This window comes from Homo sapiens, chromosome 18 (genome assembly GCF_000001405.40).
Source record: "Homo sapiens chromosome 18, GRCh38.p14 Primary Assembly".
In the NCBI taxonomy this organism is placed as follows: Eukaryota; Metazoa; Chordata; class Mammalia; order Primates; family Hominidae; genus Homo; species Homo sapiens.
In genome coordinates, this window is record NC_000018.10 from 49,259,703 (window position 1) to 49,280,155 (window position 20,453).

Genomic DNA, 20,453 nt, shown 5'->3' on the forward strand with positions numbered 1-20,453 from the left:
CTAAAATGTTTACACATGAAATTATACGGAAGATTTGTTTTAAAAAATAGAAATCAAAACGTAAAAGGTGCTGAGGGTAAAGTGGGTAGATGAAATAAGAACAGCACAGTGTTAATAACGACTACATGAAGATCCATGCTACTATTTTCTCCAATTATGTTTAAGTTTCATAGTGTTCATAATAAAAACTTTATAAAGTAAATAAATAAATAATAAACTGTGAAACTGAACAGGGAGAGCAAACAGACCTCTAATTAAAGAGAGAGGATTTAGGAAGCTGGAATTTTTTAAAAAAATTCTGATTAGTATATCTAGTGAGATTTGACAGAATATTGCATCCATAAAATAAGAAGAGACTGCTATGAAAAGGGAAAATCACAGAACAAAAGCAAAGTCGCTTAAGATTATAAAAGTATCATGGCAGCTGGGCACAGTGGCTGATGTCTGTATTCCCAGCACTTTGGGAGTCCAAGGCCAGGAGTTCAAGACCAGCCTGGCCCAATGATGACTCTCTAAGAATACAAAAAATTAGCCGGGTGTAGTAGTGTACGCCTATATAGTCCCAGCTACTCTGGAGGCAGAGGCATGAGAATCGCTTGAAGCCAGGAGGCGAAGGTTGTAGTGAAACGAGATGTTGCCACTGCACTCCAGCCTGGGCGTAGCAGAGTGAGCACTATGGAAAATTAAATTTGTGATGTGAAGGACCAAACTGAGAAGTTCTCCACAGAAACTATAAGAGAAAAGTGCAGACGTCATAGCCACTTAAAAATTCCAGAAGAAATAAACTAGAAGAAAAACAGAACAATTAGTAATATGAGAAAATTTCTTTGAGAGGAAAAGAAAAACATTCAACATTCCAAGAAAAAAATCATGAAAAACAATCAAAACATTCTCGCAAGATTAATGAATTTGCAGTATATGAGAAAGTTCCATTGGCTTCCAGACAGAAGAACATGTTACCACCAACGGAAAAAGAAGCAGACTAATGTTAGAGTTCCCATCTTGAACACTACACATCTGAAGGACAGCAGAACAATGTCTCAAGATTTTTGAGGGAAGGCATTATGATTCTAGAATTCTGCATCTTGAGAAACTACCACATAAGCATGATGCAAAATAAACTCAGCATGAACCACCCATGTACCATCTCCGGGAGAAAAAAAAAAAACAAAACACCACAACACATGTAAGTATTTAGCTGCCCCTCCTCAACACAGTAACAGCAGGACAAATCCAGAAGAATTCAAGAGAAGGAGAATATGGAATACAAACAACAACAAACACAACAGTCATCCATGAAATCAGGAAAACAGAATTAAATCTAAATAATATACTAAAAGAGGATTAAAATAGATCATTCTCTAGCAAGTCTAACAACAGCAAAAAAATTCCAAACAATATTAGGAATGAGAAGGGAGTACAGAAACAGATTAAAAGAATAAAAACACAAAGGAATACCACACTCAATTTCATGTCAATATGTTTGAAAGTACAAGTATATACAGGTGGCTTCCGTACACATATTTTCACTCGTTTAACTCTCTGGCCCCACATCACCCAGCATCCCCCATTACAAATAAGCCCACCCTGACTGCATTCTCCACTCAGAGGCTGGCATATAACAAATACTCACTACATGGTGGTTAAATATTATTTAGAATTGAAAAGTAAAAAATATAAAAGTTTGGCTGGGCATGGAGGCTCACGCCTGTAATCCCAGCACTTTGGGAGGCCAAGGTGGATGGATCACCTGAGGTCAGGAGTTTGAGACCAGCCTGGCCAACATGGTGAAACCCCGTCTCTACTAAAAATTAGCCAGGCGAGGTGGCGTGCACCTGTAATCCCAGCTACTTGGGAGGCTGAGGCAGGAGAATCGCTTGAACTAGGGAGGCAGAGGTTGCAGTGACTGCACTCCAGCCTGGACGACAGAGAAGACTCTCTCAAAAATAAATTCCATAAGTTATATATGATAGAGTATTATACAGTAACATTATATAATATCAACTCTTTTAAAAAAATTAAATATGTTTGGGAAAGTACAAAAAACAATTGACATCTATATGCCCACAATTCACATTACCAACTGTTAATATTTTTTAATATATATATCTCACTTTATTCCCCCATGGAGGAACAAACACTATCTTGAGTTTAGTGTGTATACTCTAGACCATTTCAATTACTTTATCTGCATATATACATATATGTACCTACATATATATGTAAAAAACCAAAAACCAGCATTCCTTTGTGTGTTTTCTAGTACACATAAATAGTACCATACATAATGTATTAGAATGAATGGTTTCCCCCCAAATCTATGTCATTCAAAACTTGTGAATGTGACCTTACATGGATAGAGGGTCTTTGAAATATAATCAAGATGAGACTGCATTAGATTAATGTGGACTCTAGGTCAGTATGACTGCTGGTGACTGTAAGATGAGGAAGACAGACACAGAGACAGACACCTCCTGAGAGAAGGATGTGATGACAGTAGCAGAGACTGGAGTGATGTAGATAGATGGCAAGCCAAGGGACACCAAGTATTGCCTGCGACCACCAGAAGCTAGGATGACACAAGAAAGGGTCTTCCCCTAGAGCCTTCAGAGAGAGCATGGCCCCGCTGACACCTTGACTTTGGACTTTCAGGCTACAGAAGACAATAAATTTCTATTGTTAGGAGTCACCTAGCTGTGGTACTCAGACAACTCTAGAAGACACTAAGTATCTTTCATTTATATCAGCAGTACTCAGTAACTGTGGTGGTCAGTTACAGTAGCTCTAAGAAACTAACACACATCTGGTTTGTTCGCATCTTACTTTTTTCACTCAGCATGTTTCTGTAACCCTCCTATATTGATACATATAAGAAGAATATTCACCAGGTATGCCTGTCTGATAGTACTAGTTCTTTTTTTAAAATGGAATACTCAATACTAGTTAGTAAATAGCTTTTGTTGTAAGCCACTCCCCCAGGTAATATACAGCAGAGAACAAAGAACTGTGGTCCACATCCATTCTTACTGGCTGGTGTTGGTGCCATACATACTACTTAAGTCATTTGAATGTCACCTCTATATCCAAGTCTACTTCATTCCTTGTAACCACTCTAGAGTACTATATTAGCAGGCTACATTTTAAAAAAAATCCATTCCTCTATTAATGGAAATTTAGGCTATTTACAGTTGTTTTCCTATTTAAAACAATGTTACAATTCAGATCACTATCCTAAATCTCACTACATGAAAGTCAGAAAAAAAGAAAGAATTCCTGACTCTCCATATTCTTACTATCCAGACTTTTACCTCAGTTCAGGAATCACACAGATTTTGAAAACAAAAATACCTGCACATGACTTCATAAGTACATCTGCGAGAATTTACTAGGAAGCAGAATTGCCAAATCATTGAATATCTTCTTTTTTTTTTTTGAGTTGGAGCCTCACTCTTATCATCCAGGCTGGAGTGCAATGGCACGATCTCGGCTCACTGCAACCTCCGCCTCCTGGGTTCAAGTAATTCTCCTGCCTCGGCCTCCTGAGTAGCTGGGATTACAGGCACCCACCAGCACACTCGGCTAATTTTTGTATTTTTAGTAGAGATGGGGTTTCCCCATGTTCGCCAGGCTAGTCTCAAACTCCTGACCTCACGTGATCTGCCCACCTCAGCCTCCCAAAGTGCTGGGATTACAGGCGTGAGCCACCACGCCTGGCTTGAATATCTTCTTTTAAAAATAAATGTATAGGCTGGGCGTGGTGGCTCATGCCTGTAATCCCAGCACTTTGGGAGGCTGAGGTGGGTGGATCACGAGGTCAGGAGTTCAAGACCAGCCTGGCCAAGATGGTGAAACCCTGTCTCTACTAAAAATAAAAAAAACTAACCAGGCTTGGTGGCAGGCACTTGTAATCCCAGCTACTCCAGAGGCAGAGGCAGAGAATTGCTTGAACCTGGGAGGTGGAGGTTGCACCAAGCCAAGATCGTGCCACTGCACTCCAGCGTGGGCAACAGAGTGAGATTCTGTCTCAAAAAAGAAAAAAAAAGTAGTTACTATTAACTGTGTTAACACACTAAAAAGCACAGAGCAGCAGTGTCCAACACAGTGGCACTAGCCACAAGTGGATATTTAAATTAAAATTTAATAAAAGTAAAATAGATTCCTCAGCCATACTAGCTACATTTCAGGTGTGAGCATACTTACAGTGCAGTCATAGAAGACTTCTATGAGGATAGAAAGTTTGATTGATTAGCCTGGTATAGAGACCACCACTGTATCCATCACCTAGATTTATTAAATGTTAGTATTCTTGCTTCTAAAGTACCTGAAGCCTCCTCATTGTTCTACACTGATAACCTGCCTCCCCAGAGGCAGCCACTATCCTGAAATTGGATGGGCGTTGTTTTTTTTTTTTTTTTGAGTTTTATTATCAATACACGTAGCTCTACGCATTCATTCTAGCTGCTTTACAATATTTCATTTACGTAATCTGCTCTCCCATTAATGGAGCTGTATTCAATTTCTGAATACAACTAACAATGCTACAGTGAAAATTCTTTCAAATATGTTCTCATGAGAACATATTTGAAGAAGTTCTCCCTAAAACGTAAACCCTGAAATGGAACTTCTGAGAGGTGGAGTATTTATTTCTGTATACAATTTGAGGAATTTGAGAGGACAAATTCCTCTCTAAAGTGGTTCTACCAATTTATACTCCCACTACCAGCATATGAGAGTCCTTTTTCTCTATATCCTCACCAATTCTTTTTTCTTTCATCAACCCCATAGTAATAAAAACATCACCAACTCTTGATATATCAGATTTTGTCACTTTTGCTACTCTGATAGGCACAGAATATTTCAGTTGCTTTAATTGGCATGATCCTGATGAAGCATCGGGTTGAACGATGATTACTGTTCCGGGTCTCTATTCTGTTTTTCTATTACTTTGCCCATTTTTCTATCGAATACTTTGTGTTACGTATAAGCACATCTACATCTGACAAGAAGAGGGCTAGGAAAGAGAAAGAAATATCAAAAGGAATAAATGTGTCACATCTCTAGACATGGTAATAGGTAGAAATTGTGAAATCACAATTTTAAAGTTTTGCCTTAGAAGAGTAGTACATTGAACAAATAGACTAGAGCCCAAACTTAATATCCTCAAAGTCTACCATACCTCTATAATCTGGAGAACAGAATAAAAGCACATGACTTACCTGGCAAGTTAAAACTAGGAGCTATACTACAAAAGTGACTGTGTCTTAAAATTCATTTAACCGTTACCACAGGTATGAGAGGTGGTTCATGCTCATTAAATGCTTACCAAATTAGTAATACCAAATATACTAGTCTCAAGCCTATGTGGGAGTGGACAAAGTATATACAGTCCTTTAAACAATCTCACTAAACAATATATGTGCTATAAATCGCAGGCTGTCCCATGGTAACATGTGGTAAAAAAAATGCTTCTATGAGCCCAAGCCCACAGTCATAGGTGTACTGGGGTCAATGATGGATGATAAAGGAGAAAACCCGAGAGCAGGCTCAAGAAGTACATGTGTGACTGAATCCTGCCTTACCTGGCAGCAGCCCCTTGGAAAAATTGACAAAATCCTGAAAATTCTGATGAAAATCCCCAAATCTAGAGAGAGAAACAAGTTTGGTAGGTTTATTTATTTGTTTCTTCTTCTGACTAAATAGTGGAAGGAGGTGTGGGAGAGAAAATGAGAACCTTCAGACAGTTTCAAATATGAGAAGGTGAATAAAATATGCCACAGAAATATTCTGTGAAGAAGGCCAGGCACAGTGGCTCACGCCTGTAATCCCAGCACTTTGGGAGGCTGAGGCCAGTGAATCACCTGAGGTCGCGAGTTCGAGACTAGCCTGACCAACATGGAGAAACCCTGTCTCTACTTAAAATACAAAATTAGCCGGGTGTGGTGGCGGGCGCCTGTAATCCCAGCTACTCGGGAGGCTGAGGCAGGAGAATCGCTTGAACTTGGGAGGCAGAGGTTGTGGTGAGCCGAGATTGCGCCATTGCACTCCAGCCTGGGCAACAGGAGCAAAACTCCATCTCAAAAAAAAAAAAAAAAAGAAATATTCTGTGAAGAAAATACTGAAAACAAAAGCCAGATATATAGAAGATGATGAATAAAAATAACAAACTCAGGGATACAGAAACTAAACTATGGTAAAAGGGCTGATGGTAGACAACACATCCAATGAAACCAGTATTAGGCAATTTTGGCAATTTGAGTTACAAAACAGAATGGAAATGTTATAAGTTTTGAATAATCTAAAAAAAATAATTAGCCAGGTGTGGTGGTACTTGCTTGTAATCCCAGCTACTTGGGAGGCTGAGGCACGAGAATTGCGTAAAACAGAGTGAGACTCTGTCTCAAAAAAATTTTTACAAAATTAAATAATTAAACTAACAAAAAATTGGAAGAAAGAGATGAAAAGAAGTGTGGAATTAATAATGTTCTCATGCTTCTCACTAAGAAATACACTGGTTCTCTCTACAGCTGCAACATGGATTTAAAATAACTAAACAATGATTCTAACATCTTAGCTTTCCAAAATCTCTTTTCTTCACCATATAATAATATTAAAAAATATATTGCATAATGAAGGTCTGGTATGGTGGCTCACACCTGTAATCACAGCACTTTGGGAGGCTGAGATAGGCAAATCATTTGAGACCAGGAGTTTGAGACCAGCCTGGGCAACATGGCGAAACCCATCTCCACAGAACAAAAATTAGCTGGGCATGGTGGCATGCACCTGCAGTCCCAGCTACTCAGGAAGCTGAGGTAGGAGGATCACCTGAGACCAGGAAGTCAAGGCTACAGTGAGCAGCGATTGTGCCACTGCACTCCAGCATGGGTGGCAAGAGTGAGACCCTGTCTCAACTTAAATAAAAAGAAGAAAATTTTCTGAAAATGATGTTCACCTAATGTTAATAGTTCTAATTCTAGTTAATGAATGAGTATGATCATTTACACTAAAACAGTAGAATAATTTGTCTTACGTCAAGGTATTCACATCTTAGGTGGTAGTGATAAAGTTTGACTTTAATGTATTTTCAAATTCTTAAAAATAATTACTGTTAAATACATTTTTTTCTTTCTAGCATTACTCTCCTGTGCTGCCTATTGTCCAAAGTCTGAAAACCATTTTCATATATTTTGCTTACAGTGGAAAAGCAGAAGGATGTAAAATCAAAGGTCTAAGCTTCTACCTTAAGAAACGTTGGGGAAAAAAAAGGCAAATTGAGGCTCAAGTAAGCAGGAGAAAAGAAATAATAAAGAGCACAAATAATTAAAATAGAAAACAAAAAATGGAGGAAAAACAATCAATAGACTCAAAAGCTAGTTCTTTAAAGTTTTAACTTTTTTAAAAAGTTAGAAAGATAAAGAAGAGAATAGACACATTATCAGCATGAAGAATGAAGGGTAATCTCTCTATGGCTAGTACAGACATTAAAAGGTAACTTTTTAAAAAAAAAAAAGAAGAGGTAATAAGAGTATATTATGAACAATTTTATTGTAATAGATTCTTTACCTTAAAAGAAATGTACAAATTCCTCAGAAAACACAAAGTTCAAAACTCAACCATACTGTATATGAAAATACATTTAAAAACATATCATGTCCAAGTGCACTTTACCCCAGGATGCAAAGTTGATTTAATATTCAATAAATAATCACTATAATTCTCAATAACCAGTATAATTCACATTAACAAACTAGAATATAAAAAAGCAAAAGATCCAGAATAAAAAATTCTTACATCTCAATAATAAGATAAGCCAAGTTTTTAAAAGGGGGTATGGCTATTCAAGAGCAAGATGAGCGATATAATTCTGTGGTGATAGAAATATTCTATACCTTAAAAAGTATCAATGTCAGGCTGTGCATGGTGGCTCACACCTGTAATCTTGGCACTTTGGGAGGCCAAGGCGGCTGGATCACTCGAGGTCAGGAGTTCAAGACCAGCCTGGCCAACATGGTGAAACATTCCTATCTCTAATAAAAAATACAAAAATTAGCCAGGCCTGGTGGCGTGTGCCTGTAGTCCCAGCTACTCGGGAGGCTGAGGCATGAGAATCACTTGAACCCACGAGGCGGAGGTTGCAGTGAGCTGGATCCTGCCACTGCACTCTGGCCTGGGAGACAAAGCGAGACTGTGTCTCAAACAAACAAACAAACAAACAAACAAAAGTATCAAATATCTTGACTGTGATATTGAACTACAGTTTTACAACTACAGTTGCCATTGGGGAAAACTGTATTAAGGGTATATGAGGTCTCTCTTACTTTTCTTAAAACTGCATGTGAATCTACAATTATTTCAAAATAAAAAAGATAATTTAAAAAATGGCAAAAAGATATATATGCACACAAAAAGCACATTAAAAATAAATTCTCTGTATCATTGGGTATTAAGAAATGCAAATTCAAATCAAAATGAGATAACAATATATATATCATAGGCAATTAGGTTCACACTAATGATTCCATGTAGAGAAACTTGGTAAAACATTTGAATTTACTCTTTTCTACTATTACATATGGAAAGGGAAGGGACCAAAATAAATCGAGATCAACAAGAAAGTCAGATTCTAGAGAAAAAGAACAAGTGTTTCAATATTTGAATTTGAAATGTCATCTAAAATATCCTGAAATCCAATGGAACTGAACTCAATGTGAACTGAACTTTCCCTATCTTACCAACCCTGTTTTGGCAGTCAGCGAAGTTTAATTTTAATGCAAAATTCTCTGCTAACTTGAAAGTGTTTTAATTATAGAATGAGGATACAGAAAAGTATAGAAAATAGCACAATAAAAAGTATAACCACATATGAATTATGCCAAAAACTAACATTTTGTCATGTTTGCTTCAAAGTTTTTTGTGTGGTTACAGTTACTTTTTCTTGTTCTGATTATTTTGTTATTGCTGCTGCTGAAGCAAATAATTATCTGGGTGGTAATGACACAAATATAGAATGTAATTTTCATTAGTTTTCCTTTAAAATTTGTGTGTTTTATATGCATGTTATACTTCAATTTTAAGATGTTTTTAAAAATCATATTTGTTTTTAATTCCTTATTAAAAGAAAAGTCATGTTTAAAAAGTTGATTACATCAGTGAAAATATTACTTCTCATAGTATTTTACTGAAAACAAGAACCAAGAAATTTCTATGTTCACATCAAAAGGTCAAGCTACAAAAGCAAAAATAAATTAATGGGGCTATATTAAACTAAAAAGCTTCTACACACCAAAGGAAATAATCAACAAAATGAAAAAGCAGCCTCTGAATTGATATAAAATATTTTCAAACCATATATCTGATAAAGGGCTAGTATCTAAAATATATAAAGAACTCACACAACTCAATAACAGAAAAACAATCCCATTAAAAAATGGGCAAAGGACCTGAATAGACATTTCTCCAAAAGAGACATAAATATGGTCAACAAGTATATGAAAATGTGCTCAAAATCACATTTTGAGCTCAAAATTTCCCTGATAATTAATCAGGGAAATGCAAATCAAAACCATCACACCAGTGTGGATAGTCATTATGAAAAAGACAAGAGATAACAAGTACGGGAGGGGATGCAGGAAACAGAACCCTTACACACTGTTGGTGGAAATGTAGATTGGAGCCACCAAGGTGAGAAACAGTATATAGATTCTTAAAGAAATTAAAAATAGAACTAGTGTATCATCTCACAATTCCTCTTCTGGGCATAAGGAAAATGAAATCACCACCTATAAAGATAGCTGCACTCCCACATTCACTGCAGCACTATTCAGAATAGCCAAGACAGACACAGCCAGAGAGTCCGTCGACAGACAAATGGATAAAGAAAATGTAATACATACAGTCATTTGCCACATAACAATGTTTTGGTCAATGCCAGACAGCATATACAAAGAAGGTCCCAGATGATTATTACAAAATTCCTATCACCTAGATGTTGTAGCCATTGTAGCACAACACATTATTCATGTGTTTGTGGTGACTTTATAAAGTAAAAAAGTTCCAGTAAGCTAAGGGTAATTGATTATTAAAGAAAAATATTTTTATAAATTTAGTGTAGCCTAAGTGTCTAGTGTTTATAAAGTCTACGATAGCATACAGTAATGTCTTGGTCCTTCACATTTACTCACCACTCACTCATTGATTCAGTCAGTGCCACTTCCAGTCCTGCAAGTTCCATTCATGGTACCCTATACAGGTGTGCCTTTTAAAATCTTTTATACTGTATTTTTATGGTAGCTTTTCTATGTTTAGATAAACAAATACTTACCATTGTGTTACAACTGCTTACAGTATACAGTAACAACGCTGTACTGGTTTGTGGCCAGCAGCAACAGGCTATACCTCACAGCCTAGGCGTGTAGTAGGCTACACTATCTTGGCTGTGTAAGCACACTCTACGATGTTCACAGAATGATAAAATCGCCTAAGGACACATTTCTCACAATGCTTCCCAATTGTTAAGTAGTGCATGGTTGTATAAACAAAGGAATATTATTCAGCCTTAAAAAAGAAGACCCTGACATTTGGCACAACATAGGTAAACCTAGAGGAGATTATTCTAAGTGAAATAAACCAGAGAAAGAAAAATACTTCATGATCTCACATATATGTGGATTATCTTTTTAAAAAGTCAAATACACAGATAGAGGATATTACAATGGGTACCAGGGGGTGGATGTGAGAAAATGAGGAGATATAGGTCAAAGTTACAGGTATATGGCATGAAGTCTAGAGATCTAATGTATAATATGAGGACTATAGTTAATGATACTGTATTGTATTCAGGATTTTTGCCAAAGGAGAGTATCATTGCTCTTGCCACAAAAAATAAAGGAGGTAACTATGTGAGATGATGGATATGCTAATTTACCTGACTATAGTAGCCATTTCTCTATGTACATGTATTAATATATCAAAACATCAAGTTGTATAACTTAAATATACACACAAAAAATAAATTTGTATGTTTTATACTCCTTCCACAATGGTCAAGATTCCTTAAATCTTAGTTGAAATTATGGTCATACTATGTAAGAGGCAAAAACATGACTTAAGGGAACATTAGAGAGGAGTAAATATAATATAAAAGCCCTACTGAAAATGAGGAGAAAACAAAGTGTCTGTACCCTTATAAAGAGTGAAAGCCCTGCCCCCTTCTCCTATAGAACCCCTAGCAAGGAGACTGGAAGAATCAAAAACAATCCACCCAAAAAATGGCCTGCAGGGACACAGTCCCAGAGAAAGAGACTATGTACAACAAGGTACAGTAAGTAAGACCTGCCCACACACAGGACTTCCAATCGACTTCTTAGTGCTTACTCCTACAGATGAACAGATCAACCAGGGCCACCAGATGCTCCAGGAAAGACAGGAGTCCAAAAAGAAAATTCGGTAAGTTTGAATATATTTTGAGCAAATTTTCAGTTCTGTTGAAGTATTGGGGGTAGAATCAGTGTATTAGTACACAAATAAAAAACAGGGCAATGATGTGCTACAGAAATGGTAAAACATGTTCAAGAAAGGAAACGCAATTATCCTACAGTACACAGCTGAACTAAAAATAACATCAAAAATAATAATGTAAAAGCTGAGTTAACCAAAAATGGTAATAAGATGGAAAAAGGAAAAAGTCTGTGTGCCGACAAGCGTGCTGGGAACCCAGAGGGAACACTTGTGGAATGCAGGAAGAACCAATGACTATCTTCCATCTTAGGGCGATAATAGTTAATGTCTGCAACTGAAAAATCAAGAAATCACAATATAAGTATGTTACTTCGAAACATGGACAGAACTGAAAGCATTTGCCTTACAGGAGTGGGAATCAGAAATAGGGTGAACATGGGTCTGTTATTTTTCATTAAAACCTTGTACTTCTATACAAGTTTTAAAACTACATATGTGTATTACTTTGATGCAAAAAATAAAATAAAAAAATGCCAAAGAGAAACATAAGACCAGTTTGGGAATAAAACTCTCCAACAGGACCAAAATTTAAAAAGTTAAATTATGTTATGTTCTTTAAAAATATATATATAAAACAATGGATTTCTCAAACTTCTTCCATTTTGGTCCCTTTTTCTTCTCTAATTCTGTATGCATGAAGCAAACCTGTTTGACAATTTCTGCCACAATGAAAAAGTGGAAATGAAATGCTGAAGAAAAATGAACCCAGTAGCAGCAAAAGCATTTGTATCAATTACCAAAGAACCATTTTGAGAGAGTTTTTAATAGTGGTTAATAGTCATTCTGGAAAAAAAAAAAAAAAAAGCACCGCTTCATAAATCTGAAGAAAGACATAACATTTCTAATACAGGTTCTCACAGGAACATCTACCAGAAAGAAATGTAAAGACTAGTAAATCTTACGTAGGGACATGTCTGTTCTGTTAACTCTAACTCTAATCCAAGTAATGGTAACTTACCACTTCATGAATGGATCTGTTGAAGCCATCATCTTCCGTAAGGATCAACAATATTATAAGGGCCATATACACATGGTGTGAATTCCTTTCTTCAACATGATACAGAATCTCAAGAATTGGTAAAACCTAGAGAATAAAAATTATAATTGACTATTTCAATACTTCATTATAAATCCAAATGTTTTAAATCTTTACACTTTCATTTTGTGCTCTTTGCTTTAATATCAGTTATATTTTTCATTAGAGAAAAAACCATATAAACCCACTTCTGACTGAATGTATTTTCCAAATGTATAGCTAAGATGCCAGTGGAGAAAATCACCACTAACTCTGTGAAGGTCTCTTAAGGTCTAACCAACATAAAGGTTGGATCTGCAAGGACCATTTAGGCTCGTTGTTTGTTTTGAAGATTTTAAGAAGTCACATTGCCTTCTCCCAACTTAACCAAAAAGTGGGAGTAGCGGGGAGAGCACAGCTGCTCAGAAGTTAACTTTTTAATTTATGTGCTTAGCACCACCTTTTTAAAGCTAGTAAGTAAAAAATATATTTCAAGAAATATATTTTAAATAAATATGTAATTAGACTCTTGGAACCCAAGGTGCATTTTCTCAACATGTGTATTAAGATCTGCTCTTCAGTATATCTATCAAACATTTCATTTCATAATGCTGTTTACCATTGTGCTTATTTCAAATCATTGACACCTTCAATTTGTTCCTTCTTCACTAAAGTAAGGAGGTTACTGAAATTATTTATTAAAGATGGGCAGACTATCTACATAGCATGTCTTGTTGGAAACAACCATGAACACTATCCACTGAATGCTAGAAAACAGGCAAAAAAAAAAATCTATCATCTAAATCAGACAACACATGTAATGAGCAAATTGTTTACACATACAAGTCCTTAAAGCACAGGCTGGTATGCAAAGCCCACCAAAACAAGCTGGTATGCCTGGGGCATACGTGTTTTGACAGGCACACCTATTGCAGGAAGCTTTTAAAATGTGGCACTGGTATGTTTTGTTCTTTTACAAGTTGTAGCTAAAACTTCCTCTAAATTATGAAGTTCAGTGCATGAGCACTATTAACTTCCAGGAACGAAGTATACCAGTTACCAAGCAGTCATTGCTCTGTCTCTTTTCCCAGGCATTCTTGTCTTCGGAGTTCCTTCTGACATTTTGTCAAACATAATACATTGTACTCACATTCCACATTACCTAGTAAGCATAGTTACATTTTTTAGTCATTTAACTCAACATTTGTTAATTCTGATTCTGGAGTTTTCAATATGCCACATAACATTTCCATTAACAACAGACCACATATATAACAGTCTGTGGTTGTATTGTCTCATAAGATTACAACATCATATTTTTACTGTACCCTTTCTATGTTTAGATACACAAACGCCATTGTGTTACAAGTGCCTGCAGTATTTAGTACGGTAACATGATGTACAGGTTTATGGCCTAGGAGCCATAGGCTACACCATAAAGCTTAGGTGTGTAGTTAGGCTCTACGATCTAGGTTTGTGTAAGTACATGCTATGATATTTGCACAATGACAAAATCACCTAATAAAACATTTCTCAGAACGCCTCCCCACATTAAGCAACATGTGACTGTATATTTTATGCCTTTTTTTTTTTTTTTGGCTACGCCTGTAGAAAGCACATCTTACCTATAGTACATAATACCAATAGAGTACTGAAAATATTGACAAGACACACAAGCAAATGGTATATTCAAAGAAATAATAATGTAAGAGTAAGTAACGGGTCCAATGAGACTATGTCAGAATAGTACTTCATTCTTTTAAATATTTGTATTCAGATACAATTTACAGACCATACAATCCATTCAAAGTGCACAATTCAATGGTTTACCATATACTCAGAAATATGTGTAACCATCACCACAGGCAACTTGAAAAATTTCATTATCTCAAAAACAAACCCCATACCCTTTAACTATCACCTCCCCCAGACCCCTATCTACCCTGCCCAAAGGAACCACTTTCTGTCTCTATAATTTCCCTATTCTGGACTTCCGTATGAATAGAATCATACACTACGTAGATTTTTGTGACTTTCTTTCACTGAACATGTTACCAAAGTTCATCCATGCTGCAGTATGTATCAGGATCTCATTCCTTTTTATGTCAAATAATATCTCATTGCATAAACATACCACATTTCATTTATCCATTCTTCTGTTGACTAGCATTTGAACTGTTTCCACTTTTTTGCTATTATGAACAATGCTTCTATAAACATTCATTTACAAGTTTTCCTGCAGACATATACTCATTTCTCTTGGGTATATATCTAGCCTTGGAATTGCTGGATCATATGGTAACTGTTTCATTGTTTCAGGAACTACCAGACTGTTTCAAAGCCATTGCATCATATTACATTTCCACCAACAGTGTATGAGAGATTAGATTTCTCCACATCCTCACTTCTTATTATCTAACATTTTATTCTAGGCATCACAGTGGGAGTAAAGTGGTATTTCGCTGTGATTTTGATTTACACTTACCTGATGACTAATAATGTCAAGTTGTTTTTTTCATGGGTGTATTACTAGCTATTTGTATATCTTCCTTGCAGAAATGTTTACTCAGATCTTTCATCCATTTTTTAATTGGGTTGTCCTTCTACTATTGGGTTTAAAAAGTTCTTTACATACTATAGATACAGTTCCTTACCAGAAAAGTGATTTGCAAATATCTTCTCACATTTTGTGGGCTGTTTTTTCACTTTCTTGATGGTCCTTTGAAGCACAAACGTTTTTATTTTGATGCAGTTCAATTTACCTGTTTTTTCTTTCATTGCTCATGCTTTTGTTGTTATATCTAACAGTCATTTGCCAAATTCAAGGTCATGAAGATTTACCCCCATTTCTTCTAAGAGGTTTATAGTTTTAGCTCTTTTTAGGTCTTTGACCCATTTTGAATTAACTTTGTATATGGGGTGAAGCAAAAGCCCAACTTTATTCCTTTGCAAGTGACTACACAGTGGCACCAGTACCATTTGTTGAAAAAACCTATTCTTTCCACATTGGTCTTGGCACCCTGGCTAAAAATCAGTTGATGATAGGTATATGGGTTTATTTCTAGACTCTCAATTCAACTCCATTGATGTATTATGTCTATCCTTGTGCCAGTACCACACTGTATTGATTAGTGTTGCTTTATAGTAAGTTTTGAAATTAGAAAGTATGAGTCCTCCAAATTTGTTCTTTTTCAGGATTGTTTTGGCTATTCTTGGACCTTTGTAATTTTACATGAATTTTTTAATCATCTTGTCAATCTCTATAAAGAAGTCAACTAGGATTCTAATAGGTATTGTGCTCAATGTGTATGTCAGTCTGGGGAATACTGCCATCTTAACAATGTGAAGTACTGTGATCAGGGCTGGGTATGGTGGCTCATGCCTGTAATCCCAGCACTTTAGGAGGCCAATGTGGGAGGATTGCTTGAGGCCAGAAGTTTAAGACCAGCCTGGGCAACATAGCAAGACCCTATCTCTATCTCTATTTTTTTTATGTTGCAATCAATGAATATGTGTTTCCCCATTTCTTTCAATAATATTTTGTAGTTTTCACAGTGTAAGTTTTGTACTTCTTTTGTTAAATTTCTGATGCTATTATGAACAGAACTATTTTCTTAACTTCATTTTGGGATTTCTCATATATAAAAATACTATTTTTTGCATATTGACTTTTTATACTGATCCAGTATCCTGCAACTTTGCTGAACTCATCTATTAATTCTAAGAGTTTTTTAGTGGATTCCTTAGGATTATCTATATATAAGATAATGTCATCTGCAAATACAGATAATTTTACACCTTGCTTTCCAATCTAGATATGTTTAATTTCTTTCTCTTAATCAAATGCCCAGGCTAGAATCTCCAGTAAAATGTTGAATGAAATGGCAAAAGCAGACATCCTTGTTTTGTGGCTGATCTCGGGGAGAAAGAAAACAGTGTTTTACCATTAAATATGATGTGAGCTGTGGGGTTTTCATAGAAGCCCTTTACTCATCTAAGGAAGTTCCCTTCTATTCCTAGTTTGTTAAATATTTTTATTTCATAAAAAAGTGATTACTTTGTCAAATGCTTTTTTCTGTATCTATTTAAATAATCATATGATTTTTGTTTTTTGCTCTGTTGATATGATGTATCACAATAACTGACTTTCAGATGTCCAATCAAGCTTACATTTCTGGGATAAATCCCACTTGGATATGGTATATAATTACTTTTATAATAGCACTTTAATTCTGAAAGAACTATCTAAACTGAGATCTGAAAAACTACTAGGAGTTATCTGAGAAGAGGAAAAAGGAGAAAATTTCAAGGAGAAGTATTCTAGAGAGAAAAACCAAGTCTAAAGTTAGGAGATAGGTCAGATTGAGAGACATTAAATTAATTCATTATGATTAAATAAAGAATAAAAAGAACATAATGGCAAAGAGATGAGACCCAAAATGGAAGCTGTGGCAAAATTATAAAGTGTCTTGTTAGCCACGTTAAGAGTAAGAGCTTTAACCTGAGGGCACTGTGGAGACATGAAAGGGCTTTAAAAGTAGGGAAGTGACATGATCAGATTTGACTCTAATATACTCACTCTGGAAACAGGATAAAAAATATTAAAGAATAGCAAGTCAGAAAGCAGGAAAACCAGTTAAAGATGTTGCAATAATTTTAGTAAGAGATGAAGGCAGCTTAGACCAAAGGAATCGCAATGAGGAAAAAGAACACTAATACATTCCAAAGATAATAAGGAGAGAAAATAAAAAATATTTGGTTGGATATGGGGGAATGAGACAGAGGAGTCAAAGCTTTTGCCAACTCTATGGATGGCTCCCTGTGACAGAGAATACAGGAGTAAGAGAAGGAAGAGCAGGGAAAATAATGAACCCAATTTTTACATGTTTGGTTTAAGGTGTCTATGAGACGGCCACTGGGAAATGTCTGGGGCAGCTGGATACATGGATATGAGATACAGGTAATCAGGACTGCAAATACAGAACTGAACATATATGGCACATATAAATGGGAACATATACACTGGCAACATATAAATGGCAACTGAATTTGCTTAGATGTTTTAGGGAGAAGTACAGGGAAAAAACAAAAAGGACAGAATCCTGCAGCAGGACACATTTAAGGACAAGGAAAAATAACACATAAAAGAGAGAGAAAAGCAGTAGGCATAGAGGTGGAAAAACCAGCAGAGTACAATGATTGGAAAGCCAAGGTATATGTTTGTAGATATACGAACTGCACGTTTGGGCCCCCAAAATTAGTATGTTAAAACCCTAACCCACAATGGGACACTATTAAGAGGTGGGGCCCTTGGGAGGAGATTAGGTAACAGGGGTGGAGCCCTCATGACGGGATTAGTACCCTTATAAGAGATAGGAGACAGCTTGCTTCTTCTCTGCCTCTGCTCACTGCCATGTGAGAACACAGCAAGTATATGACTATTGACAAACCAGTAAGCAGGTCTGCACCAGACTCCAAGGGGGCTGACATCTCTATCTTAGAAATCCCAGCCTACAGAACTACGAGAAATAACTTTCTGTTGTTTAAGCACCAGTCTATGGTATGTTTGTTAAAGCAGTCAGGCCAGACTAAATTCTGAACTGACTAAGCCAGAACTGACTAAGACATAGGTATTTGGCGGTTTAAAGAATAAAGAGATGAACAGTGTCATGCAGCAATGCAGTCAAATAAGAAAATTATGAAACATGCCCAGAGATTTACTAATAATCAGGAGCTGCTGATGAGGAAGTTGTAGGAACAGATGTTAGATCACAACAGGTAGAAAAGTGCATAAGAAGTAAAGGCAAAGAATGTAGCTTTCAAGAAACTTAGCATGAAAACAAAAGAGCTAAAAAAAAATTTTCCTTTTTGATGTTTATATAAAAACCACATTCAGAAAATAAAGGACTATTAGTCCATCTAAAACAAGATATAAAGATCCTATGTCATTTCTTTTATAATTAATGATAAATCATAGACTGCATATCACTGTAAATATTAATCTCATTTTCTAAGTGTCTCTTCAGTGAAGTTTCAAATGAGTACGATATCAAAATGACAGGGGTTGCATATCTGCGATATTGTGCAGGCTCAAGGCTTGACCCAAAAGCAGAAGACTGCTGGAGGCCTAAGGGAAATACCAGCCGAATCTCTGTTGGACTAATACAAACAGAAATTAAAAGAGTGACTAACTCACAATGCCCTGATTAAGAAAGTTACAAGCAATATAGTGTTGAAGTGACTATATATTATTTGTCCAAGATCCCTTCCTTAAGGAACTTCCCTTTACCTTTGTGGCTATGGTGGCTTAGCATTAAGTGTGCCTCCTCCCATAGTCATTGGTCAAATAAGTGGATACACAACCCAAGAAGAGACTATTGGAGCCCTTCATGAAATATTTCTGAAGTAGCTGTGTTTCCTCCTTTTAGCTTATGATATGTTGAGAGCTGCTGGTGGCCACCTGCCTCCCCACTTGGAAAGTGTGTGCCTGAGAATAAGGCCAAAGCTATAAAAGGCAGAGGCAAAAGATGGAGAGGCCAAGCCTGGATAACATCATTCAGCCCCTAGAACCAGCTATGACTGAAGCCAAAAAAAAAGCACAAATTTTTCATTTGTACAGATATATTTCTTTTCTCTTATGCTAGGCATAAGCAATGGGTCTGTTACAACTAAAAGAATCATGACCATCTCAAATGTCTAGCTGCTTTTCTTGGTAAACATTTAATTGTGATAAAATATAAAAATTGTGTTCATGTCCCTAATGGGTTTTTCTAAAAAGTATGCCCTCTTATGCCCTGTTCTTAATATTTAGGCACTTGGATTCGCCCTAGACACTATTCAGAGACACAAAAAGAAAATGTAAGAGTCACTGTATTGTTATTCTAATAGATACCAACTAAAAATGTACTATAAGAAGTTATACCAGATTAATTAACTTGTTTTGAGTTAAAACAAGTCAAACAGTAGTGAGTCAGACCATCAATAGAAAGAATCCAAGTTAGCCAACACCTGTCGCTGAATACAGGCAGGTCTGCCTCCAGCCTTATGGGATTTACACACAATAAGGTATTTCTTAGAAACACTGTAATCTGTTAAACATTACCTTCTTAATGTCAAAGACTGCAGAATAAAAGAATTGATAACTACAACAAAATCAGATCAGCACAGTAAATTTCCTACTGATAACATATTTTCTAATCAGAGCCTCAACATATTTATTATAGAAGAAAGGTAAAAGGACAGATGGAGCATAAATTAAGAAATTATCCAACAAAACCAGAACAAATAAACAAACACCACCCTCCAAAAAAACTACAACACAAAACCTTTTAACCTTTCACCGGGTATGTCATCAAACGCAGACAGCTGCTCTCTGCACCATCTTATATACCTGCATCCTTACCATACAACTTTCTGAAACAGGTGATGTCACAGGTTTCCTGCTTATTGCCAACGTTTCCCTTAGAATACAACATACTCAGAATTGTCTCTATGCCTATCCACACCCATCAGGAAACAAGCCTTCTCTTTATAGGATTTTACTCATATAAGCAGCATACTTTCATACTCAATTTGCTATTTAAGCAGTGTTTCCCACCTAGACCTGATGTGGAGACACTTTCACCACACTTTTTGTTCTTAGTGTCAATCTGATGTAGAATACATTCAATGAATTCTAGTATTCCATGTTTCTTCACTATTTATGCAGTATTTTATATTTAACACTGAAAAAATGGTAACCAAATACTGGGAGAATCCTGCTATCAACCTGTAAAAACTGGTACAGAGGGAACATTTCATTGCTGTCAGCCAGCTACTGGCTATTTCGGGAATGTTCACATTTTTATGAATGTATTAAGGGTCCATAGTTATCTACATACTATGTATTTCAAACAACATTAACACCTTGGTGAGGTAGCTT

General features: G+C 36.1%; 1 protein-coding gene across 41 annotated transcripts in view; it reads right to left on the bottom strand.

Moving 5' to 3' along the window:
* Positions 1-20,453, bottom strand: part of DYM (dymeclin) — a 424,259-nt gene that overhangs the window by 223,316 nt on the left and 180,490 nt on the right. For all 41 annotated transcript variants that reach the window (NM_001374439.1, XM_047437559.1, XM_047437553.1 and 38 more), the window contains one exon: positions 12,476-12,601. In NM_001374439.1, coding sequence (NP_001361368.1) covers positions 12,476-12,601 — 126 coding nt within the window. The remainder of the gene's footprint in view (positions 1-12,475; positions 12,602-20,453) is intronic.